At 47.7% G+C, this 25061-nt stretch overlaps 1 protein-coding gene across 1 annotated transcript in view, besides 5 other annotated features; it reads right to left on the bottom strand.

Moving 5' to 3' along the window:
- PLEKHG3 (pleckstrin homology and RhoGEF domain containing G3) overlaps positions 1-15665 on the bottom strand; it is a 45826-nt gene extending 30161 nt beyond the window's left edge. Inside the window, exon 1 of the mRNA NM_001308147.2 lies at positions 15385-15665. The gene's annotated coding sequence lies outside the window, so the exon portion shown is untranslated. The remainder of the gene's footprint in view (positions 1-15384) is intronic.
- Positions 1138-2055: an enhancer, noted in NCBI's record as "H3K4me1 hESC enhancer chr14:65184752-65185669 (GRCh37/hg19 assembly coordinates)". NCBI's record gives its function as "activates a minimal SCP1, AML or CMV promoter by ChIP-STARR-seq in primed H9 embryonic stem cells {active_cell/tissue: H9 hESC(primed)}" and the evidence as "EXISTENCE:reporter gene assay evidence [ECO:0000049][PMID:30033119]".
- Positions 2975-3892: an enhancer, noted in NCBI's record as "H3K27ac-H3K4me1 hESC enhancer chr14:65182915-65183832 (GRCh37/hg19 assembly coordinates)". NCBI's record gives its function as "activates a minimal SCP1, AML or CMV promoter by ChIP-STARR-seq in naive and primed H9 embryonic stem cells {active_cell/tissue: H9 hESC(naive and primed)}" and the evidence as "EXISTENCE:reporter gene assay evidence [ECO:0000049][PMID:30033119]".
- Positions 3893-4812: an enhancer, noted in NCBI's record as "OCT4-NANOG-H3K27ac-H3K4me1 hESC enhancer chr14:65181995-65182914 (GRCh37/hg19 assembly coordinates)". NCBI's record gives its function as "activates a minimal SCP1, AML or CMV promoter by ChIP-STARR-seq in naive and primed H9 embryonic stem cells {active_cell/tissue: H9 hESC(naive and primed)}" and the evidence as "EXISTENCE:reporter gene assay evidence [ECO:0000049][PMID:30033119]".
- Positions 11150-11651: an enhancer, noted in NCBI's record as "NANOG hESC enhancer chr14:65175156-65175657 (GRCh37/hg19 assembly coordinates)". NCBI's record gives its function as "activates a minimal SCP1, AML or CMV promoter by ChIP-STARR-seq in primed H9 embryonic stem cells {active_cell/tissue: H9 hESC(primed)}" and the evidence as "EXISTENCE:reporter gene assay evidence [ECO:0000049][PMID:30033119]".
- Positions 16885-17386: an enhancer, noted in NCBI's record as "H3K4me1 hESC enhancer chr14:65169421-65169922 (GRCh37/hg19 assembly coordinates)". NCBI's record gives its function as "activates a minimal SCP1, AML or CMV promoter by ChIP-STARR-seq in naive H9 embryonic stem cells {active_cell/tissue: H9 hESC(naive)}" and the evidence as "EXISTENCE:reporter gene assay evidence [ECO:0000049][PMID:30033119]".

Raw genomic sequence — 25061 nt, 5'->3', positions numbered from 1 at the left:
GCAAGTATTGTTTATTATAAATTGCTCTTGTTCACAGCCAGTGTAGAGGTAACTTGGCTGCCAGCACAACTTGTCACTATGCAATGTGCCCCAAAACCGGAAGAGCCAAAGAAAGCCCTAAAAGGTGTTACTAGAAATTACCCCCTGGAAATCACAGACAGATCCAAAGTTCCCAGAGGCCCCACCTCTCTCATCTTGAGGTCAAAAAGGTTCACAGGACCGCTGCTACTTACCAGCAAAGTTCAAGAACCCAGCCCTGCAAATTCGCCATCTTTCCGGCCTCATCCCCATTTCAGGGGCTGCTTGTTTTGAGGCCTCTAGGCTGGAGCGGGGTGGGTGGGTAGGAGGAAGCTGCATTTTACTACTGCCTCAGGTTCAAAGGCACTGGAGAATCTCGGTGGGAACCAAGTGGGTGTGGAGGGGCCCCCACTGGGTCCCTCTGCTTCCTCGGCAGAAAAGAGAATATGCACAGATGCAGTAGAGCCCACAGAGGTCAAATGCAGTAAACTCATCCACAGGCTGTGGAGTCAGGCAGACCCCATTTGACTTCCAGGCCCTCCACTTTTCCTGGCTGTATGTGGCCTTGGGCAAGTCACTTCACCTCACCAAGCATCAAGTTCCTCATGAGGAAAATAGGCACAGTAATACTGCCAACCTGACTGGGTTGTCTCCAAGGTTGAGATGACACAAGTAAGTAACCCGTACATCTGACACACAGTAAGCCCACCGAGAATGGTGGTGGTGGTGATGATGATAACGGATAAATCACTTATTTGTTCTGCAAGCATCAAGACAATGAGATTTTTCTGCCTTGTACCTACCATGTTTGACCCACATCTCAAATTAATAATAATGATACAAGTTAAACTTGGTGAACCAGCATGACCTAACCTTCCCCCACCACCCGTGTGTTTATCCATCTTCTATGATCTCAACATCCATATAGACCATGATCTTCTAAGGGCAGACACACAGCAGTTCAGCTGGAAAGGAAAAGTAGTCTGACACCCATACCCAACAGGAGGTCAAGCCAAGAAATGAAGTATTAAGTGAGTCCGAATCCCGCAGCTATAGCAGATCCCAGAGGCGCATTCCTCTGGGATCCACACGGAGAGACGGCATGTACTACTGGGAGCTGGAGAGAAACAGGGCCAGGGGGCACCGCAGGCCTGAGCAAGAGCAGAAGTTAAGGCAACTTGAGAGAGCAAAAGCACAAGTGATTAACAAAAACCATCCTTGACACTGGTCCGTGGGTTTTAAACCCATCTGCAGGGTAGACATCTGGGAGGGCCAGGGCATAAGACAAAACAGCAAGGTACTGGGAAAGGCTCTAGTGCGGACCCATTCCTAAGTCACGAGGAATATCAAAAAAAGGAAAAGCAGAAGAATGTGTATGAAAGAGCCCAGGGACTACAGCCAGCACTCCTCCAAACTACCCTGGCTCTGCCTAGCCACTGTATGATCAGGAGCAAGTCAGCGGGCTCTTTGTGCCTCAATCTCTCTCTGATTTGAAGATAACCCTAGTAATCTTCCAACCTAAGCTGTTTACCAAGCACCTACTGTGCACAAAGACATCATGGCAGCCCTGCAGTTAGGACAAGTCACACACAGACTCCACTCTTCAGAGCTTATATGCTATAAGGCAAAACAAGACAAGGCATCTGTAAGAAAAGGAGGGAGAGAATCCAGGCATGAGCAGTATGGGAGTTCAAGACTGCCTCCAGTTTGGGAATTCATTCAACACTCCTGAACATGAATGCCAGGGCCTGGGGATATGACATGAAAAAGACATTGTCCCTGTCTTTGAAGAACTTGAACTTCAGAAGGAAAAATGGCCATATAAACAGAGTATTCACAAAACAATGCCTTGAGTCCTAGTACAAAAGCATGAATAAATAAACTGTGCTAACAGAAGGAGTAGCTAGTGCTACTTAGGGGACCAGGAAGCTTTCTAGGAGAAGGTGACATCTTAGCTGAGTCATAAATGACGAGTAAGCTTTGCCAGGTGAAGAGATCTGAGTGCATTTGCTGCCAAGAGAGCAGCTGAGTCCCGAGAGGACCCAGACCACCCCCACGCCCCGGGCAACTGGCAACAAGAGGCCAGGCTGCAAGGCAGGCCAAGGACAGATGGAAGGAATCCACGTGGCTTTGTGGGAAAGGACAGATCCAAGCCAGGTCTGGAAGAACAACTACCAAGACACGTGGAAATGGGGCTCCATGAGACGAGGTGTCAGAATGTGCCCTAAAAAGGTCCAAACCATGATATGGGCTGTGGCTGCAGGTGTCCCTAGAGCCAGGGAGTGTTCAAGAAGAATGCAGAAGCCCAGGAAGGTGCTGGCTATTCAGAGACAGCTTCGAGGAGGAGCGAGAGATCGAGGGAACATTAGCTAGAAAGAATGAGACCCATTCCAACCCTTGCAAAGGGGGAAGAAATGAGACCCAATATGAACGTCAAGAGATGAAACTACATTTAAATTAACTGCCTCTAGGAGCAGGAAGAGAACACCTACCCTAGAAAACTGAGATGCCAGTTCTTAAATGGAAGAAATCTCTCAGAGGAATTTCAGGCCAGCAGCTCTCAACTGGGCTGGGGGAGGAGTTTGTGTGCATCTTACTACCCAAGGGTTTTTTCCTTCCCCCAGTTCTCACTTTCCCTTCCCAAGCCCATCAGAATGGTGGCTTGGAGGCAAGGCTGCCAGGGCAATTCCCTAAAACACAACTCCCTTCCCAATTCCAAGCATGAGCATCCAAACCCAGAAAGTTATGTAGACAACCCTGGCCTTCCCCCTCCCTCAGGCCTCGCCTCTTCTTCGAAGGTGATACAGCAAGAGAAGAGCTCCAACACATCCCCTTTCTTTGCCCTGGGCTCTGACCTTGGGCTTGGTGCCTGACCCAGAGAAGTTAGGAAAGTGGATTTTCCAAAGCAGACCTTATGGACTCACACACACACACACACACACACACACACACACACACGTGTAAATTCCCAAAGGCGGCCAGCCCTTCAGCCAGCAGGGCCACACACACTTCCCCTATCCTACAGGGCCCAGGGGGCCCCTCTCTACCCATAGCTCCTTCCCCCATCCCCCATGTTCCCCGCTTCCCCTACTAAGGGGCCTCACCAGAGACGCCTAAGAAACTCATCCAACCAGTTCCTGGGTAGAGGAGGGGCACTTCCTGCCTCAGCTGGGAGCGTACATGGACCAGAATTCAGACCGGTGGGGCAGTATTACCCAATCCCAATTCTGGGGTGCACACGTGTAGAGACACGGCCGAGGAAGCAGCGTCTACTCCTTGAAAAGTGAGGCCTTGATTTGCAGTCGATCTGCCCCGACCTCCACACTCCTGCTGCTCTGAACTATGAAGTGGTGGGTGCCAGGGTCGGGGTCCGCTGCCCACCAGGGAGGAGACAGGGCAGGGGAATAACCTCCTTTCAACTGCTCTACCAGCTGACGCTTGGTTTGATCCAAAACAACCACCCTCTGTGGATTCTGGGAAAAGGAAACATCAGGAAGAAGTGGGAGATTAACTCTGCTTTGTGTGTGTGTGTGTGTGTGTGTGTGTGTGTGTGTGTGTGTGTGTGTGTGTGTGTTGTGTGTGTGTGTGTTGTGTGTGTGTGTGTTGTGTGTGTGTGTGTGTGTGTGTGTGTGTGTAGGGCCCTACATGACCTTCTCTAACCACTCAACTCCAAATGTTCACGACATGAAGTCCCCCTGAAGTCCCCGGCAGAACCATTTACAGTTGCCTCCAAAAGGGCTGTCTTGCTGTGTCACCCAGACACATGACAGTCCACTAAGAAGAGCAGCTCACCTATGCCTGCTCCCTTTATGGTCCTCAGTGTCTAACCCACAAGGGAAAAACCTGCCTTTTACCCTAAAGCCTGTGATTGGCTGGGTTTCCTGGGGGAAGTCCGGCAAGGCTTAGAGGCCCGGAGTTGAAAGAGTCCCCATCCCACCCCATTCCCATCCCCTGGCCTGGCCCCAGCCGGGTACCTACCGCTTTCCTCAGGAGAGCTCCCATCCGGGCACCACGAGGGTGGCGAGGGGCCGGGCAGCCGCATTGTCCCCAGCACCGGCAACCTAGCAGTTAACAGGCTTGGGGTGAGCAGCGAGCTGCCACCAACAGCCTCGGGAATTAAAGCGCCCGCCGCCTCCTGCAAAACTTCGTCAATAAATGTTCTATTCAGAACCAGTTCTGCGTGTGGGTCATACTTTCTGCATTTCTCTCATTCCTGATTGCTGGGGGGCCCTAGCCCAGGAAATGCAACTTCCCGACACAATTCTGCAGGTCCCCGCTGGGTAGGGACCCAGGCCACAGCCCTGGGAGGTGAGCGCCACAGGGCTGAGGACCTGCACAAACCTCCAGCAATTAAGCACAGGGGATACTAACTGCAGGAATCAAATACTGAAGACTTCAGAACAAAGCCAGATCATTCACCAGCACAACAATGCTCTGTTTATGCAGCACCTCCCCCACCCCAGGCCCTCGAGGCTGAAGGATAATTAACCCTTCTGCCCTCACAATAGTGGGGGCAGAGAGGAAAGGCAGGTGGCCATCCCTATTTTACAGGTCAGGAAACTGAGGCACAAGTGGCTCTCCAAATGCCTGGCTGAAATAACCTCAGCTAGCATTTATTCGAGTATACCAGACATAAGGCAAAACACATTCTCTATATAATCTCCTCACAACACTCTGGTACCCAGGGCCATACAGTCAGGGAAGTAGAGGAGCCAGGGTTTGCTGGAATCCACACTCCCTGTGCCTTTCACCATTCTCTCCACAACCTCCCACATGGCCCGAGAGACGAAGCCAAGAAGGCCATCTCTCACCCTACCTCATAGGAATGCTCTCATGCACTTTTTGCTTTTTTTACAAGTAACACTTTTTGCTCACAAGTTCCTAGAGTATGGGGCAACCTCAGAAAGGAGCCAAATAGAGTCACCTGGGAATTCATAACTCACCTGTAGATGCCTCCAAAAACAGTACGTAACCAGCAGTAGACAACCCCAAGACACAGGCCTTCCTTCTCCACCCACACACTCTTGCAGTGGGGGTACCAACCTGCACGGGGTCTCAGTGAGTAGCAAGTATCCCAAGCTGTTTTCTCTGAGTGTTCTATTGCCTCAACTCAGTAACAACCTCCTAGAGGTAAGAACCAGGTCTTCCAGTGTTTTGTGCTTTTTTCCCCCCAGGTCCTCTGGCACTCAAATCCCTACTTCTCATTTTGGCCACTGTGTAAAAACATGCCAGAAGGTGGAAGCACACAGCATGGATGGTATTTTGGGGGCCGCTGTGCTGGGAGAAAAAGGCATCCCCAGTGGGAGCACAGATATTAAGTTTGGGAAGGGAAGGCCAAGCTGTTCACCTCCTCTCCGCTGCCTGGTCATACCCAGCCCAGAAGAAAGCTTCAGAATCATGGCTGGGATGACTTCCTGTGTGAAAAGAAGACTACTCAAATTCACTCACATGTATTGACAGTATAAACCATGTGCCACGTGCTAGGGACACAGCAGTGAATAAGACACATCCTCATTCTCATGGAGCTTACATTCCAGTAAGCAAGACGGCCACAAAAAGGTAGACAAATAACTAACACATTTTTGGAAAGTGTAAGTGCTATGAAAAAGATAGAGGAGGGAAAACAGAATACTCTGAGAGATGGGAATTTCCACTAGCTAAGGAGGCCTGGGAAGGCATTAAAGAGGTGACTCTAGAGCAGAGAGACCTGTATTGTAAGAAGCAGCCAAACATGTGAAGCTTTGGGGGATGAGCCTTCCAACAGTCTTTTCCTCTACCCCACCATAGCCATCCACTCACATGTCTCATATGCCCCAGACCTCATCATCACCAATAAGTGCACGCTTCCAAAACCTTGCTTTGAAGTATCCCATCCTCTGTAACCACTGAAGAGGAACCTGATACAGAAATTTCAAACCACACAAGGAAACAAACCATCATAAGGAAGTCAGAAAATTGAACAAACTGGCACTCAAAGAACTAGAAATTAAAGAATAGGTCTACAAAAGATGTTTAAAGATGAATAGTTTAAATGATTGGAAATATAAAAGAGATAAAAATCTTAATAAAAGAAGATGGTAGTATAGGGGGTAAGGAACAGGCCAATTAGAAAAAGCAATACATGAAAATAAAATATTCAATATTGAAATATAAAACCCAATAGTTAAATAGAAAATTAAACACAGCTAAAGAGAGAATTAGTTAAGTGAAAGATAAACTGAAGAAATCATCCTGAATTTAATTCAAACAAATAAGATAGGAAATATAAACATTAATAGACTTAGAGGTCCACAGAGAAAAAAAAAGGAAATGGGGGAAGGTGCAAATTTCAAAGAGATAATGTATATGAACTTTCTAGAACTAAGGATAGACTTTAGTCCTCAGATTGAAGGCACACACCAAGCTAAACTTCAAATAAGCCCACATTCAGACATACTGTATATAGTATATATGCAGAACACCAAAGACAAAAAATATCTTAAAGGATGATAAGGAAATGTCATGAACTATATGCCAATGAATTGGATAACTTTGTTGAAACAGCCAAATTTCTAGAAGGGCACAAACCACTGACAGATTTAGAAAGAAAAAGTCTAAACAAGAGATTAAATTAGTAACTTTAAAACTTCCAATGAAGAAAAGCCCAGGACTAGACGGCTTCCCTGGTGAAGTCTACCAAACATTTAAAGAATAATTCATATCAACTCTTCACAAACTCTCACCCCACAAAAAAACAGCAGGAAATACTTCCCAACTCATTCTATGAGGCCAGTATTACCCTGCCATCAGGACCAGACAAGATATCAGAAAAAAGAAACCTACAATCCCACATTCCTTATGAATATAGACACAAAAATCCTCAACAAAATACTAACAAATTGAATCTAGCAACCACAACCATACATTATGACCAAGTGGGATTTATCCCAGAGATGCAAGATTAGGTTAACATCTAAAAATTAATTAAAATAATTCAGGTTGATAATAGGATAAAGTGTAAAAATCACCTGATCACTTCAATACACCCAGAAAAAAATTTTGACAAAATCCAACACTCTTCTATGATAAAAACGCTCAACAATCTAGGAAGAGAAGAGAATATCCCCAACCTTACACAGAACATCCATGAAAAACCCACAGGTACATCATAATCAATGGAGAAAGACAATGCTTTTTCACTAAGATTAGTAAGAAGACAAGGATATCCAGTCTTGCCACTATATTCGATACTGGAGTTCCAGCCAGGGCAATTAGACAAGAAAAAGAAATAGAAGAGATCTGGGTTGAAAAGGAAGAAATAAAACAATCTCTATTCATAGATAACATGAACTTGTATATGGAAAATCCTAAGTAATCTACCACAAAACTATTAGAACCAATAAAAGTGTTCAGCAATGTACCAGAATACAAGATCAACACACAAAAATCTATTTTATTCCTGTACACTAGCAATGAGCAATCATAAAATGGAATTAAGACTCCCATTTATAATAGCAGCAAAAAGAATAAAATACTTAGGAATATATTTAACGAAAGAAGTGTAAGACTTGTATGCTGAAAACCACAAAACACTGTTGAAAGAAATTAAAGAAGACCTAAAAGACATTCCTTGTTCATGGAATGGAACATTTAACATTGTTAATATGGCAATACTCAACAAACCAATCTAAAGATGCAATACAATCTCTATCAAAATATAGCTGATTTTTTTTTTGCAGATATTGACAAGCTGATCCTAAAATTCATATGGAAAAGCAAGGGACCCAGAATACCCAAAACAACCTTGAAAAAGAACCAAGTTGGGGGGCTGATACAACCTGATTTCAAAACTTACTACAAAGCTATAGTTATCAAGACTATATGGTACCGGTGTAAGGGCAGACATATAGATCAATGAAAGAGAATTGAGATTACAGAAATAAAACAACATATTTATTGGCAACTGATTTTCAACAAGGGTGCCAAGACAATTCAATAGAGAAAGAATAGTCTTTTCAACAAAAGGTGCTAGATCTTCACATGCAAAAGAATGAATCTGGACACCTATTTCAAACCATATACAAAAAAGTCAAAATGGGTCACAGACCTAAATGTAAGAGCTAAAACTATCAAACTCTTAGAAGAAAAGATAGGAGTAAATCTTTATGAACCTGAGTGAGCAATGGTTTCTTAGGTGTAACACCAAAAGCACTAGCAACTAAAGAAAAAATAAATTGTACTTCATCATCAAAATTTTAAACTTTTGTGTTTCACAGCACACTACCAAGAAAGTGAAAAGACAAATCACAGAATGGGAAAAAATATCTGTAAATCGTATACTTGACAATGAACTTGTATCCAGAATATATAAAGAACTCTTGGCCGGGCGCAATGGCTCACACCTGTAATTCCAGCACTTTGGGAGGCCAAGGCAGGCGCATCACAAGGTCAGGAGATCGAGACCATCCTGGCTAACAAGGTGAAACCCTGTCTGTACTAAAAATACAAAAATTAGCCAGACGTGGTGGTGGGTGCCTGTAGTCCCAGCTACTCGGGAGGCTGAGGCAGGAGAATGGCATGAACACGGGAGACGGAGCTTGCAGTGAGCCGAGATCATGCCACTGCACTCCAGCCTGGGCAACAGAGTGAGACTCCGTCTCAAAAAAAAAAAAACAAAAAAAAAGCATTCTTGTTTCAACTGAGGCAAACACCCTTTGGGATAACTGGCAATCTGCTTGGGTGGAGCCGAATTAAGATTGGACTCATCCAGGCTCTACTGTAACACAGTCAAACTTTGGCCAGCTGGAACCTCTGTAGAGAGAGGGCATCCAAAAAGCAGCATTTGCAAGAGCATGCAGAGTTTCAAAACAGTGTGGGGTAGGGCTAAGAGCGGGCTCCAAAAGTTCAAACCCCATCCCTGCCAAGTATTAGCTGAGCGATCCTGAGCAAGTTACCCAACTCGTGGGGACTTGGTTTCCTCATCTGGGGTGGGTGAAGTGGGTAAACCACCTACTTGGTCTTATTTAAAGGATTAGTGATATTATTACCTAAGTATCAACACTTAAAATTTTAGCCAACCTGACTGGGAATCTTTTAAAAATCCGTTACACACTTCCCTGCCTTCCTAAACAGAGTCAAGGGAACATAATTTAACCTTTTCTTGATGACTCTGGGTCACAATTACCAGCAAAGCATAAATTATCAAACTGATGATCCCCAGACACCCAAGGTGTGCCAAGTCATTCCCTCCACACCCCCTCCCTCCAAAAAAAAAAAGATCCCCGGCACTTCTGCTAGCACTTGCTTTTCCTGGAGTTTTTATCTCAGTCTGCTCTCACTGCCAACTCTGCACTGTAGTCATTTTTCCCCCTCTATGCTTGTTTCTTTATCCTCTTTCATTTTATTTTTTTAATTTCTTTTGAGACAGAGTTCTGCTCTTGTCGCCCAGGCTGGAGTGCAATGGCGCAATCTCGGCCCACTGCAACCTCCACATCCTGAGTTCAAGTGATTCTCCTGCCTCAGCCTCCCGAGTAGCTGGGATTACGGGTGCCCGCCACCATGCCCAGCTAATTTTTGTTATCTTTAATAGAGACGGGGTTTCACCATGTTGGCCAAGCTGGTCTCAAACTCCCGACCTCAGGTGATCCACCGGCATCAGCCTCTCAAAGTGTTGAGATTACAGGCATGAGCCACTGCGCCCGGCCTTTATCCTCTTTCATTTGCTGCTTCTTCCCAGCTTGAACATAGCATGACATAGCTTATATGTAGAAGTTAAACAGGGTCTGAGAAGACTGGCATGAAGAAAAATGTAGGACCTTGAGTCCTCGACCTTCTTGGCTACATGCAAATAAGCAAGGGTGCTGGGTGGCTGAGTTCCAAATAAGAGTTTAGGGTAGGAGAGGTGTTATTGGATATTATGGAACACATTATGGGAAGAACTATATCCAACGCTATAAATACACCCTGCTGTCCACTTTGGGGCCAACTTGCATGGGAGCAAAATGTGTAGCAAGCTTTGGAAGACAGGTCCCAATGACTGTAGGTCTCCTTCTTACATGCTGCAGGAATACAGGGCTTCCTGTCCCACTGTCAGAACAGCTGACTACAGGTTAACTTCTTAGAATCTTATGGACATTCTCTGTCAGGAACAGAACATTCATAGTGTGAGCATTTCCTTAATTCCTAAGGTCTCGTCACACAGTAGGGTTTTACTTACTTATTCAACAAATACTTATTGGAATCCTACTGTACAACAGGCACTGGGGATGTAGCAATGAACTGAAGGAATAGAAGCTATATGAGAATACTGGTTCCTTTCTAATACTACACACACACACACACACACACACACACACACACACAGTCTCACAGCCTAGGAAGTAAAGGATGTGAGTTTTTAAGAGCTTCCGGCACCTGTAGAAACCATCTCTCCTTTTGGGACCCTGTTCCCAAGGTAAAATCGACTTCATTCCTCCTGCATCTTTCCCTTCCAGTCCCAGCTCCGATTCTGGCAATAATCAGATCAACTTCTAGGACCCTCAAACTGTGTTTCACAAAAGGCTGCATGCACAGCTACCACTGTGCCCACGAGAACCCTATTTGGGTTGTGTTCAGCCCAAGTCTGCTCAGCATGAAAGAGAGTGCAAGTCCTTAAAAATCCATTCCTTGAGCTTACGTAGGGCTCCCTCCCCAAAGGCCAGCCGCCAGAACTGTATAAAGCCCTCTTCTCCCTAGTGCTTGCATTCCCAGATGGCAACAGCCCACCTAGGGCTGGACTCGACCCTAACACTACCTTCTTCTCCCTAATCCCATGGAACAAAAGCTGTAGCAAATGAGACCACAAGCCCAGATTACTCTAAGGGTGGGACCACGGCTGAAGCCCATCACTCCCTGTTGATCACACTTTGTACCATTCTCAATGCTGTCTGGGCACAAAGATGAGTCCAGCACCATTCCTGTCCCCAGATAGCAACCCAGTTAGCATGGCCAACCTTTATCCCCAGGCAGCTGACAGACAGAGGGGCTACCAGCAGCTCTAGATGGGCCCCCTGCTGATCAGTTTAGTCCACGTTGTCCAGTTTTCTTTCTCCTGACTTCAGGTCACCCAACACTAACATGCTTGGGGCTGTTCAGGGCCCTCTTTGCAACTTCCTCTAATATCAGATCATCTAGCTTTTACCCGTCTCCAGGCACCAACTGGCAGTCCCAGGAAGTTCCTTCATCACAGGGCCTGCCTGGCTGCCGAGTGTGCAGCGACATACTTGGGGGGTGGGGCGGGGGGGTGGAACTGGCCATGACCACTTCCCTAGGCCTCATCCTCCACTGCCCATCTCTCACTTCCTGAACTAGGGCAGGGTCTCCAGGAAGCCACTCACCACAAACTTTGACAGCGGTACTTTAGATTAAACCCCTCCCTTTGTAGGCCCGTGGTTCCAGCAGAGAGGGTCGGAGACTCAGCAGATCAGCTGGGTAGAAGCGGCTAGGAGTTAGGCAGCCGACCCTGAGTTCTCATTGTGTCTGTCACTCTGTTACTTTAAATTCTGGTCCCTGGCGAACCCTTATTCAAAGTCTTCCGAGCCATCTCGAAGCCTCCACCAGAATCCTCCTGCCACCCTTCTGGGCTTTCCTAGGACAGCTCCACCCACCATCTGCCCCCTCCCTCACTTTCCCTACCCCTTGTCCCCGCCCCACTCCGCTTCCGACCTCCAGGCATAATTTACCTGCCGGAGGCTGGGGGAGGGGTGGACAGCCTTCCCAGCTGTGAGGCAGAGTCGGGAGGTCAGGGAGAAGGTGTGATTCATTGAGTCTGGCTGGAAGCAGGGGGAATTCCAGAGCAAGAGGGGGGTGGTCAGGGCTGCCCCTGTCATCCTATCTGTAGGATGGGGGTGGGCATAGGACATACCTGGGAGTCCCACGTCCTCAGCCATCTGCAATCTAGGGTAGGGCAGGAAAGCCTCCCTAACCAGAAAGTTTTTGCCAAGGTTTTCTATTTTCCCCTCCCTCTAATTCCCCACTCCTGCCCAATATCTAAAATGAAAAGCTTTGCACCTACAGTCCTTAGCAATGACATTAAATATCTCATGCTACCCCTGCAGAATTTGGTTGGAGAAATAGTTTATCGAACCTCTCTATAGTCTTTGCTAAGCATTCAACATACGTTATCTCACTGTACATTGCCATGATGCCGCATGTGGTAAGTATGATGACTAACTCCACGTTGGGTAAGAAACACAGCTCAAAGGAATTTAGCACCACATCAAAGTCCACAGGGCTAGTGAGCTGTCAAGCCAGGGATTTGAAACCAAGGTGTGTCCAACTCCAAACTCTGTTCCTCGATGCCACAGTGGGATGAACTGGGCTTCAAGTTAGAAAAGGCAGCGATGAAGAAAAATACCGCCTTCAGGCATCACCTCAAAAGTACCTTCCTCCTGGAAGCCTCCCTGGCCACCCTATCTAAACTGTCACCTCACCCCTTCCATGACAATTCACACCTACCTTCCCTATCATATTTTTTATTTCTGTTTATCACTAACACACTTGCTATTTCAATCTTGTTTATTGTCACTTCTGCTAAAGTCAGCTCCACTGGGTCAATAATTATTGTATATTTTCTTCACTGCTGTGTCTTCTGCATCTGGCATTCATACATAGTAGGTGCTAACTCCTTAACTATTAAATGAATGAATAGAGTACTTTAAAATAGAACTAAGGGGCATGAGTACTGGGAGGAAAAGGTGATCCGTCCATTCAGCAGAAGAAAGGAGAGATGAGAAAAGACGGTGTGGGAATCTGGCCAGAGGTGAGTTGTGGGGCCCAGATGAGCTTGACAAGAGGAAATGAGGATCTGCCAGGTCCGCTGGGGGCTCCAGTAGCCCCTTCCTCCTGGCAGTTGTGATTTCCAGCTGCCAGGGCCCCCGCTGGAGGGCTTCTGCTGAGGAGGGAGGATGGAGTAGGGCGGGTTTGCAGCCACGGAACAAAGGCCTGTGGACTTGCAGCTGGCCAGAGAGGCGGGACAGAGCAGTGGCCTGGGCCAGAGGGGCGGCCTGAGATGGGGGAGGGGGCACAGATGAGGAGCTGAAGACAGCCCTCAGTGCAGCTGCAAAAGCAACACCCTCCCAGAGTCCCTGCAACCCCCAACACAACAGAGAATAGCCAGAGGGCTTCACTTTTAACCCTCCAAGGCCAGGGCGGCCTGGGCTTGTGGCAGCACCCCTGGCTTACAGCTGGAGCCTTCACAAGGTTCTGGGAGCTGGGAGAAGAGAACGGGCAAGGCATACCTCTGCAACAGAGGAGCCTTCCCCCTCCAGCCCTGGTCATCCCGCAGGCCGTGGCCTTTGGCCTCTTCCAGCGTAAACAGTGACCGTGGGATAGCTGCGGATTTGGTAAGGCAAATGTTTACTCTGGGGCTGAGATATTAAGACCAGGGTGTTTTAAACATCCAACAATGGCTCCTGGTATCTAACGTCTCCTTGTGGCACACACGTGGGACATAGCCAGCAAATTGTAAAACCCTTGGGAGACTCCCTCCCGAGCCACTGTGAGCCCTTTAGTTTTAACAGGAGTTTATGGAGCACTTTCCACAAATGAGGCTTCCTTTGATCCTCACCACAGCTCCTATGAGGAAGAGCAGGCAAGTAATCCCACTTTATTTATGTGGAAACTGAGTCAGAAAAGATAAGTGAATTGGCCAGATCATGTTGGAGAAAACACAGATCAGACAATGAGGACATCTGACCTCTGGTTTCTACTTGGCCAATAGGGTCTAAGGCTGAAATCACCTCACCCCTCTGGGCTCTGCTGCCTTCACGAGTAAATGAAGTAGGCTAATCCAAGGGGCCCCCCAGCCCAAGTGACTCGCACTCTTCAACTCTACCAATCTTCCATGCTATGCAGAAGAGCCAGGTCTAAAACTCAGGCATAAACCCGTGCTGGACTATCAGGCCAGTGCTCTTTCCACTTCCCCTGCCATGCCACTTCTAATAAAAGGCAGTAGAAAAGCCCCCAAAGCAGCTCTTCAACAAATCACTCCCTCAGCAGCTAGGACTTGGCCTCTGGGTACCTCTTCCCCCAACTTCCTGCCCCATCCCCAGGGCAAGTTACCCAGGGAGCTAATGGGTTGTCCTATCTTCCAGGAAGGGAGTGGAGGACAGCAGGTGTCGAAAGGAGAAGTGAGGCCATTGCATCCAGGGGGCCAGCCCGGAACCACAGGGGAGAGATGTATAACAGAGAGATAAATGTACACTTTTGGTTCTCACTCCCTAGTTTCCTCCTGGGGAACAGCTGGGGTTTAATCACTCAGGATCCCATCCTTGTCCAACAAAGGATGGCCCGGAAAACCACACTGCTGAAGGCGAGGTGGCCGATGTGCTCAACGGGGAGGCCCTCCCCCGCTCCGGACTGTCATTGCCCTCCCTGCTTATTATTTCTTGAGCAAGGGCCATGTGACTGGGCTGCGTGCAGAGGCACGGCTGGGGAGACTCTGGGAACCCCCACTCCAGGGTTCCCCGTAAGGTGAACGCAGTGTGGGTCTCCTGCTGGGGCCCCCAGAGCAGGGGACAGGCACCTACATATGCCAACAGATTAGCGAGTGACCTCGAGGATCAAACTCTTTCGCGGCCTCTAACAACACCCTCCCCAAAAGCCACACCTCTCCAGCCTCCAACCATTCCATTCTCCCCTCCGTTCTTCCTTTTGTGTTCCAAAGGCGCCCCGAAGAGTCAAAGTAGCTATTTAACGCCTTAAAAATTTAAGCTTGCACGCCTTATACTGGCTTTCCAAACCAAAGGGCTGGGTGTAGGGGTGCGAAGAACCAAACCGACTTCAGGAGTGGACGAGGTCGAGGCAGCTGGTGGCCGGGCTTTCCGCTCCCCGCTTCTGGCCCCCACTCTCCTCCCTGCCGGACAGGTAGCCGAGATTCCCAACAGCGAGCACCGTGCGGCGCCAACCCGGAACAGGCTGCAGGCGCCTCCGGGGCTGGCAGGAGCCGAGGCTCGGGTCCTCGCGCAGAAGGGTCCACCCGCCAGGCCCACAGCTCCAGCCAAACACCAGCCCTCGGGCGCGCGCGGCCTCGCGGGCTTCCTGGATTTCAAACTGAGCCTCTCTGGAGCCGCCCGGCGCATTTGCCCCTTTTGTTTCCGGAGTGGAGGGAAAAAAAGACAGAAAAAGTCTCCCCATACGACCCTCCTGCGCTCGCGCACTCTGCGGCAGGGTGGCCCGGGAAGCAGCCAACACAGTTCCAGGCCCTCCTCGGTCGCCCCGGTCCTCACCCCGCAGGGGGCTGGCACGGGGGCCGCGAAGGGACTGGGGCCCCAGCGTGACTGCCGGCACCGCCGCTCAGCCTAATGCAGGGAGATAAGAGGGGAGAGAGGAGAATCAGGGGACACTCACCGAGCGGTAGCTGCCCCGCGGGCTCGGGACGCGCACGGCGTGCGGGGCTGCCCAGGTGCTGCCGCGACGCGGGCGCGAGTTTGAAAGTCGCTCTCTGAAGGGGCTGAGGCCGCCGACCGCTCCCGCCCACCGCCAGCCCCTCAGCTGGCCCGGACTCGGCCAGCTGCAAGCGCGGCCCCCGGAGACCCCAGGCAGCGCGCGGCTTGCCAGCGCCCGGCAGGAAGTCGAGCGGAGCCGGAGCTGCAGCGGGAGGGCAGGAGGGAGCGAGGGAGCGAGGGAGCGAGGGAGCGAGGGAGCGAGGGAGCGAGGGAGCGAGGGAGGGGCGGGCCAGGAATTTTTCCTGTGGGTGGAGACTCCAGCTCGCGGCTGCAGTCCAGCAATTGGCGGCTCTGCGGGGGCCGGGGCAACCTTCGCGGCGCGGCGAGCCAGAGCCGGGGTAAGGCTGCGGCGGCGGCGAGGCCTGGGCGCGGTTAACGATTAACGCCCGCAGGGTGATGAGCGCGCACCCCCGGGCAGCCTAGATGCTCTAGGATACCAAGACGCACGTGGTGGGGTCACCCTGGTGTCACAGACCTGCTATCACCGCCTCCCGAGACAGCATGGACTGCCAGAACGTACCCCTTGTATGGACAGGGAACACCGGGCCCTGCGAAGGGGGCTGAGGGCTTTCCCAAGTGAGTGACCAGCCGGGATCGATCTGGGGATCCTAATCCTACCAGAGCCGGCCGTGTCCGCTTTTCCAAGTCAGAAAGGCATGTCTTGAATTCCTCACCATAACTCGGTCCCTGTGACGCTTTACAGTGGTAAATGCAGACCTCTGAGAAGCTGACGGGAAAGAGATAAAGGAGACAACGTGAAGGCAACTCCACAAGGAACTGTTAAATAGGAAAAATAAAACACAGAAACCTGGATGATAGAGGACCCGTTTTTATAAAACAAAGAGAACCGTTTGTCTTTATGTCTCTGTATATGACCGTGTATGCATGGAAAGGTACACACCTGGAAACTGGGGGGCAAGGGGTGAGGATGGGGGACAGAGACATTCAATACATTTTGAGCAAGAGCATAAATCCAAAAACCCATAATAATTCATCAGTAAAGATCCTGAAGAACAACAAGCCCGGAGGAGGGAAGCCCAGAGTGGGGCTCCGGAAGAGGAACAACGCCCACTGGTTAGGCGCTATCACTAGTTCCTTGGGAGGAGGAATAGGACGCTGATATTAGAACCACGGGGTATATTTGTTATCCAGGTGTACAGCAAACGATTTCTAGAGGTATCATTTAAAACAAAACAAGCGCCCGCCCCAAAATGCTGCTCTGGGCAAATGCAAGCTCCAGGTGATCTACTGGGAGGGGAGAGGCGGGGCAGGCGCGGAAGGAAATGGCTTTCAGGTGACTTTGAAACTGGATCCTGGCGGAGGGTGGGGTGAAGGCAGCGTCCCGGCTCCTGCCTGCGGAGGAAGCGGTAGGCGCTCGGTCTGGCAGGCCCAGAAAGCGGGGCCCACATTCCTTAGGGAGGGAGGGTGTGTTGGAGGCTTGCAGAGCCCCAGACTCGCGGACCGTGAAGGTGAGAGCAGAGATTGCAGAAGAGGGGCTCGGAAATAGATCAACTTAGTTGGGGCTCCGCTAGACCCCGCCGGCCAGGGGAGAAGTGACAAGTCCCCCTTCTGGCCTTCCAGGACTTGTGGTCACCCCTTCCAACCTCAGGCTTTCACCTTTTTTTGTTTATGCTTTCTTATCTGATCACCTGAATCTTACGAATGCCTTCCGGTCCGCTTCAAATTCCAGCTTCCAAAGAAGCCCCCTGACTTAGCCACTTGTGAGCGACCCTTCACTCCTTAGCCAGGACACGTTACAGTGTTAGTGGCAGTCATAACTGTCCTTTAGTGAATGCTTACCATGCAGAGGGCCTGTGCTACACTCTTAACAAACTGTGTCCCTGGATCCTCACAGCCACCTTGCGAGGTAGGAGATATCCTAATCCCCATCTTGCAGACAGAACACTGAGGCTTAGGGGCAAGGAGCAACTTGGCAAAGATTACACAACCAGCAAAAGCAGTGTCGGGCAAGTGCCTAGATGGGTGTGTGCTTACTATGAGTGTGCTTACTATGTATTAGCCATTCTTCTAAGTACTTTACAAAAACAATTGCAGTAACAGAAAAGGAAACTGAGGCAAAGTCACACAGCTAGTGGGTGGTAGACCTGGAAGTCATAACAGGGAATTCTGCCCTTCACCATCACTGCTTCCAGTTTCTTTCTGACACTTGTTATGCCCAATTCACTTGATTATAATATATTGTTTCTATTAATAATTGTTTTAATTTATATCACCTACTTCCTAAAAAGATTGTAATCTCCCTGTGGTAGAAGTCATATAGGAAGCACTCAGTAAAACAATGCTGAATTCAACTGAAACAATCTAAAGAGTTTGTGAGAAATCGCACAGTCTCTCCTCCGATAATAAAACCCTGTGTCAAGGGCCAGGGGCTCCAGGCTGCAGCCCCTCCACAGCTCGGAGCCTCTTCCTACCAGTTCTTGTTGCAATGGCCTCACCCTGCTATTAAATCATTTATTATTATTATAATACCTTGTGTCTCAGCAATGCCTTTAATCCAAGATCTCAAGGTGTTCTAACAAATACAGGTGAACTCACTTTCACAGTACCCCAGCTGAGATGAGGAGATGGAGGTATTTTCCCAACTGTTTGGATGAGAAAACCAAGACAACAGAGAATTGAGATGATTCACTATGGAAATTAGTGGCAGGGTTTACTCCCCCATCTCTTCCCCTCCTCCTTCCTAATTCTTGGCTGCCAATACTTGCATGAAAATTTCAAATCCCAGAGACAAAAGCCATTGAGTTTTCACAATAAAGGACATTTCCAGACTGTCATTTCAGCTGCTCTATTGTGGCAGACCTCAGGAGAGGGAGGGAACGTAAGCCTAGTAAAGGTTCCCTGGGGCTCTGTGCTCCTGGCTCAGAGGAGCCATGCCTGGCTGGGATGGAGGAATGAAACCTCAAACATGGAGAAAATCCCCCTCAAAAGTGACCTGAAAAGCCCCACCAAGCTCTGAGATCTCAAAGCTTCCAGAGTTCCAAGTTGCATTTTAGCAACATTTCTCAAAAATGTGAGCCACATGCAACAAAGGAAAGAAAAAGATAAATTGGACTTCACCAAAATTTAAAACTTTTATGCATCAAAGGACATCAAGTGAAAAGACAACCCAAAAAATGGGGGGAAATTTTTGCAATTCATATATCTGATAAGAAACTTACGGAAATACATAAAGAACTCCTACAATTTAATAAAGGCAAATAACCCAGTTTAAAAATGGACAAAGGATCCGAATATACATTTCTCCAAAGAAAACATACAAATGGCCAATAAGCATGAGAAAAGATGCCCAATAGTGTTCGCCATCAGGAAAATGCAAATTAAAAACATAGTGAAATACCATTTCATACCCACTGGGATGCCGATAATCAAAGGCAGGTAATAATAAATGTTGGCCAGGATGTGGAGAAATTGAAACCCTCTTGCACTGCTGGCAGAAATGTAAAGTGGTGCAGCTGCTTTGGAAAACAGTCTGGCAGTTTCTCAAAAGGTGTTTCTTGGTTTTGTTTTTTTGAGACAGGACCTCACTGTGTCACTCAGACTGGAGTGCAGTGGCGCAATTCAACAGGTTAAACATAGATTTACTACTTGACTCCACAATTTCACTGCTAGCTATATACCTAGGAGAAACGAAAACACCTGTTCATACAAAAAGTTGTACACAACTGTTCATGGCAGCATTAATTCATGGCTAATACATAAAAACCAAAAAGTAGAAACAACCAGGCCAGGAGTGGTGGCTCACATCTGCATTCCCAGCACTTTGGGAAGCCAAGGTGGGAGGATCACTTGAGCCCAGGAGTTCAGGACCAGCCTAGTCAACATAACAAGACCCCACCCCACCTCTACAAAAAAAAAATTTTTTTTAATTAGCTGGGTGTTGTGGTGCTTTCCTGCAGTCTCAGTTACTTGGGAGGCTGAGGCAGCAGGATAGCTTGAGCCCAGGTCAGTGCTGCAGTGAGCTATGATCATGCCACTGCACTCTAGCATGGATGACAAGGCAAGACTCTGTCTCAAAAAAAAGAAAAACAACCTAAATGTTCATCAGCTGATGAATGAATAAACAAAATGTGGTGTATCTGTACAGTGGAATATTATTCAGCCATAAAAAGGAATGAAGTATTGATGCATAGATGAACACTGAAAACATTATAGTAAGTGAAAGAAGCCAGTCACAAAAGGTCAAATGCTGTATACTTCCGTTTATATGAACTCTCCAGAATAGGCAAATCCATACGGAGAGAAAGTAGATTCCTGGTTTCCTGGGGCTGGGGCTGGGATTGAGGAAAGTTAGAAGAAATAGGGAGAGACTGCTGACGGGTTCAGGGTTCTTTTTAGGAGTGATACAAATCTTGTAAAATATTCTGATGGTTGCACTACTCTGAATATACTAAAAAACTTTAAATGACCAATATAGTGAAACCCCGTCTCTACTAAAAATACAAAAAGTAGCCGGGTGTGGTGGAATGCACCTTTATTCCCAGCTACTCAGGAGGCTGAGGCAGGAGAATTGCTTGAACCCAGGAGGTGGAGGTTGCAGTGAGCCAAGATCGTGCCATTGCACTCCAGCCTGGGTGACAGAGCGAGACTCCCTCGTCTCCAAAAAAAAAAAAAAAAAAAAAAAAAAAAAAACCTTTAAATGGGAGGATCGTATGGTATGTGAAATATATCTCAATAAAACATTTTTTTTTTTTGAGAAGGAGTTTCGCTCTTGTCGCCCAGGCTGGAGTGCAATGGCACGATCTTGGCTCACTGCAACCTCCACTTCCCGGGTTCAAGCGATTCTTCCACCTCATCCTCCCAAGTAGCTGGGATTATAGGCACCGCCATCATGCCCGGCTAATTTTTGTATTTTTTCTAGAGGTGGGGTTTCACCATGTTGGCCAGGCAGGTCTTGAACTCCTGACCTCAGGTGATCCTCCCGCCTTGGTCTCCCAAAGTGCTGGGATTACAGGCGTGAGCCACAGCACCCGGCCGCATTTTTTTAATTTAATGTGAGCTACTACCCCCTGTTCCTGAGTATTGGGGGCTGCCTATAATCACAATCTATTACAATCTGCTGGAATCTTTGGTGGGCAGGACCCAGCTCTGTGTTTCACCAGAGCACACTGAATGAAGTTTGAGAAGCACTGTAACACAATGTCTCAGAAGACTCAGGGATTCAAAGCTTTAGGGCCCCAGACTCTCTGAAACTAGAAAAAAGGAGGGTTTGTAACAAACTTTGAAAGAACTGCGGCCTCTGGGGGAAGGGGATCCCCTTCCTGAAGTTCTGTATTAATAGCTTCTTTCCCCTAGTCTGGACTTCTTAGTGTCAGAAAAATCTGACATCAGAAAGGGGAAGAAGCTGTGGGGGAAGGGAAAAGAAGACTTCTCCCCTCCTTCCCTATACTGTTTACAGCCACTGCAGTGGGGAGCTCTTGAGGAAATGAGCTGTTTGTTTGCATTTGTGTCTACAATAGAAGCATTTGTCAATCTCTTGTGGTTTTTCAAGAACCTGGGAGCCCCATGTGAACGATTTCTGGAGATTGCTTATGTTCACCTTCGTTATCAGTAGATAAACTGGCAGTAGTCAGCATTTACAACACCTGAGACTAGGGAGTTGGCACGCAGACGCCTGCCTTTGATGATCTGGGGGTTAATTTTTACACAGGCGTGCTGTTTCTTCGCTGGCTTCGGGATGCTGGGCTGCTTTTCTATTTGCATCTCCACCTATAGGGAGATGAGGTATAAACATGGAACCATCATCTGTTTAATGCTAAAGCAAAAGATTTCCTGGGGTATGTGTAGACACTATTGGCTGAAATGGTGTTTTGATTGGTCTGTGGACTTCATAGATCAATGTTAATATCCCCAGAAGACTTTCCACCCCTACCTGAGATTTTCAGACCTGGATGTTCTGAAGAATCATGTGGAAAATGTCTGACTTGGGACCGATGTGGACCCAGGAATCTGTATTCATAATGGGCAGGTGATTCAGATGCAAAAGAGATAAATCCACAGTCCATACTTTGACAAACACTGGTGTGTATTCTGCGTGTCTATTCCCTTCTTGGTGCGTTCTCTTCCCCCACCGCCACCCGCAGATACAGAGGACTCAAAACCCTGCAATCCCTCCCAGTGCTCCAACTATAAAAGGGCATTGCTTTTAAGACCTCATGATGTTGAAATAAATCAAGCTATTATATTTAATCAGATGGAAGAGTTCCATCTTGATTCATGTGAAATGCTTCATCTTCAACACCTTGGTGACAAGCAGGGCAGGGCACATCTACCAAGTACTACACTTTAAGCCTCAGAAAACAAACTGAGAGCTTAATTAGCAGGTAATTGCCCAGTTACTTGCAGATGGAGGCACTTCTTCCTGACTGTAATTTTGGTTGTTGATGTTTTCCTCTTAGCCTTCTCTAGTTTGTTCAAAGAGGACAGGACAGCTGTGACCCCCAGATCTGCACAACCTTCTTTTGGTTTCTGTGCCAGGCCATACGGGAAACATGGGTTGGTTATAACCCGATTAGGGCAACTGGGACCTATTCCATCAGGTTTCCTAAGTCACCAGCAACTCCTCCTGGAAAAATGAGGAATTGGTCCAAGGGAGGATAAAGTAACTTTGTGCTTTCACTCGAACAGTGACTGAGCTCAAAGACCCCACATGGCCCCATCCTACTCTTGGCCTCCAGGCACTCCCATCAAAACCTCAATTGCCTTCATGAGTGGTACTTTGTGGAGGTCATCCTGGTTCACTATCTTTTCCACCTTCCTGCAACAAAGCTGCCATCTTCTCAGTCTTACAGGATTTCCAGGATCTCTTCTAATCCTGCGAGTCTTGGATTCTACCAGCTTAAGAAACCTCAAACTGGATCTTTCTGCTACAACAAGCTGTCTTTATCCTTGACCTCCAAGTTTATCTAGGGAGAAAAACCTGGCTTCATAAACCCTCCTTCAGATACCCTCATCCCAGGCCTGTGGCTGTCTTAGGTCTGCTGAGAAAATTAGGGGATAGAATGGTGACAGGAACAGGGCTAAGGGCTTCATAAGTATTCTCACCCCATCTTCAAAACAATCATTTGAGGCAGGTGATCATTCTCTCTCATTTTACAGATGAGAACATTGAGACTCAGAGAGGTTAAGTCACAGGTCCCAAGTCATGTGGTCCTTAATGGTAGAGTCAGGACATGACCCAGGACCCTCTGCAGCCTAAACCTATGCTCTTAGCCACCATTCTACCACCAAAATACCCCACCCCAGCTCCCAAGGAGCCAGCCACTAGGCCAGAGCAGAGAAGCTGGGAGTAACTGAAGCAAAATAAACCCAAAAAAGAAATGCCCCTACCTGGCATAATGGCTCACACCTGTAATCTCAGCACTTTGGAGGCTGAGGTGGGTGGATCACAAGGTCAGGAGTTCGAGACCAGCCTGGCCAAGAAGGTGAAACCCTGTCTCTACTAAAAATACAAAAATTACCTGGGTGTGGTGCCGGGTGCCTGGAATCCCGGGAGGCTGAGGCAGAGAATTGCTTGAACCAGGGAGGCGAAGTTTGCAGTGAGCCGAGATCGCGCCACTGCACTCCAGCCTGGGCGACAGAGCAAGACTCTGTCTCAAAAAAAAAAAAAAAAAAAAAAAGAAGGAAAGAAAGAAATGCCCCCACTCTCTACTCTGCCCAACCAATCTGATTTGAAATAACTTAAAGCTCTTCAGAAAGCCTTCTAGACTCACAAGTGAGTTACAAACTCGGTTCAGGGACTGGTAAATGTGTGACAGAAAGAGAAGGAAGAATGCGTTTAGGGTCATAAAGTTGATGAGTAGAGAAAAAAAGCAAAAGTCTCTAAATACTTTTGACATCTCAAGCTAGCTGGCTATAAAAGGTGAAGCACGGTTTGTGCCTGGCAACCACAGACTTTTATGCCCTAATCACAGCTCTGCTGCCTAATAGTCCTGCTGCTATAACTCAAAGAACATCCTGTCCTACCCTTCTGGGGAGCAAAGCTGAGGTTTACCAAGTGCTGCTGAGTGGAGTGGGGAGTTGGCTTCCTACTGGGCTCACAGACTCTTGCAGATCTAAAGAGGCTGGATGCCCCGGAATTATCTCCAGAGCCTTCCTCAGCCCCAGCTGCCCTATGTGCCAACCCTCCTGAGAGAGGATCCTGCTGTTTCTATGGCAACGTTCCCTCCTCCCCCTCCCCTGCATCCCTGTGGCCCAGTGGAAATACACCTTCTCAGGTATGGAGGGCTTTGGTGTCTCTTCAGGAGCATGGTGGTTAAGACACCATAGCCCTGGGTGCTAGCACTGCTTCTTAGACTAGCCACTTAATCTCCTCGTGCCTCACTCTCCCCTTCTAAAAATGGGGTTAGCAGTAGTGCCTATCATATAGTGTTGCTGTTTGGGAATAAATGAGAAAATATTTTTAAGATACTTGGCATAGTTCCTAGCTCACAGAAAGAGGTCGCTAATAATATTATTTATAGTTCTGCTGATAAGTGTTAGGTTCCCAAGCCCCACCTCAATATCTTAGTTTCCTTAATGCCACATCAAGTCAGGGCATCTTATAGCTGAAAGAAGCCCTAGAAGTCACCCTAATATAATTATTTTTTCCCTTTGTGATTTTCACACATATACATCTCTAAGAATGAAATAATAGCAGTAAAGTACTTAGTATGTGCCTTGGATATAGTAAGTGCTTAATAAATGTTAGGGGGTTTTGTTGTTTGTTTGTCTAGGTAAATATGCATTCATCCAATAGTCACTTATTGAGCATCCTGGTTGCTGGGAGATGTACACTTAGTATAAGACATGATATTTCCCCAGGAGGGAAATTTATAACCAAATCAAAAAGAGAAGAGCCAGAAAACAATTAGAGAATAGTTTAGGGCCTAACGGTGCCGCATTTTCAGGTGTGACTATTATCACACTTGAAAGGAGGAGAGAGATTCTCTCCCTTTTTAATGATGACCCAGAATCCATATACTCAAATAGTATTGTTTTCAAAGAACGAGGATATAGGCTTATCTCAAGGATCTTCTTGTCACTCAAAAGTTATTTAAATTATTTTTAATGGCTTCAATGCTGGCAAATCCTGGACTGCTTAATGTTGGGGCAGGATGTATGGGAAATAGCAGAATGCCATTCAGACCCACGTCTGGTGGAAATGTCATCTCCAGCTGTTTAAACTGGATCCAGAATGAAGAGTGACAGTGGAATGAGTATTCCAGTTTCTCCAGTGTGGCTCCTGAGGCAATTCTGGAGCTCCAAAGAGGAGCTGATTCAGAGCCACTCCTACCCTCCCCCTGTCCCTACTCTTCCCCTTCCTCCAGCCCCACTCCCTGATATGAAAGAGTTCTCTGGTAAGAGACCAGATAGCCTTAATAGAGGAATGCAACCCACTGTCATTCTGGGCGCTTAAGTTGAGTGCTTATCTCTCAACTAAAAAGAGCTGTATACACATTGCAATAGCTCTCACATGATGAGATCCCAGCTGTTTTCTACCTTAAAATCATGTTTCCACTAATTTTCTAATCCCCAAACATTCAATGAGGTCTGTTATATGCCAGACATTATGCTGGCTCC

Source organism: Homo sapiens, chromosome 14 (assembly GCF_000001405.40).
Source record: "Homo sapiens chromosome 14, GRCh38.p14 Primary Assembly".
NCBI classification, from domain to species: Eukaryota; Metazoa; Chordata; class Mammalia; order Primates; family Hominidae; genus Homo; species Homo sapiens.
This window is presented reverse-complemented; position numbering and strand designations above follow the sequence as displayed.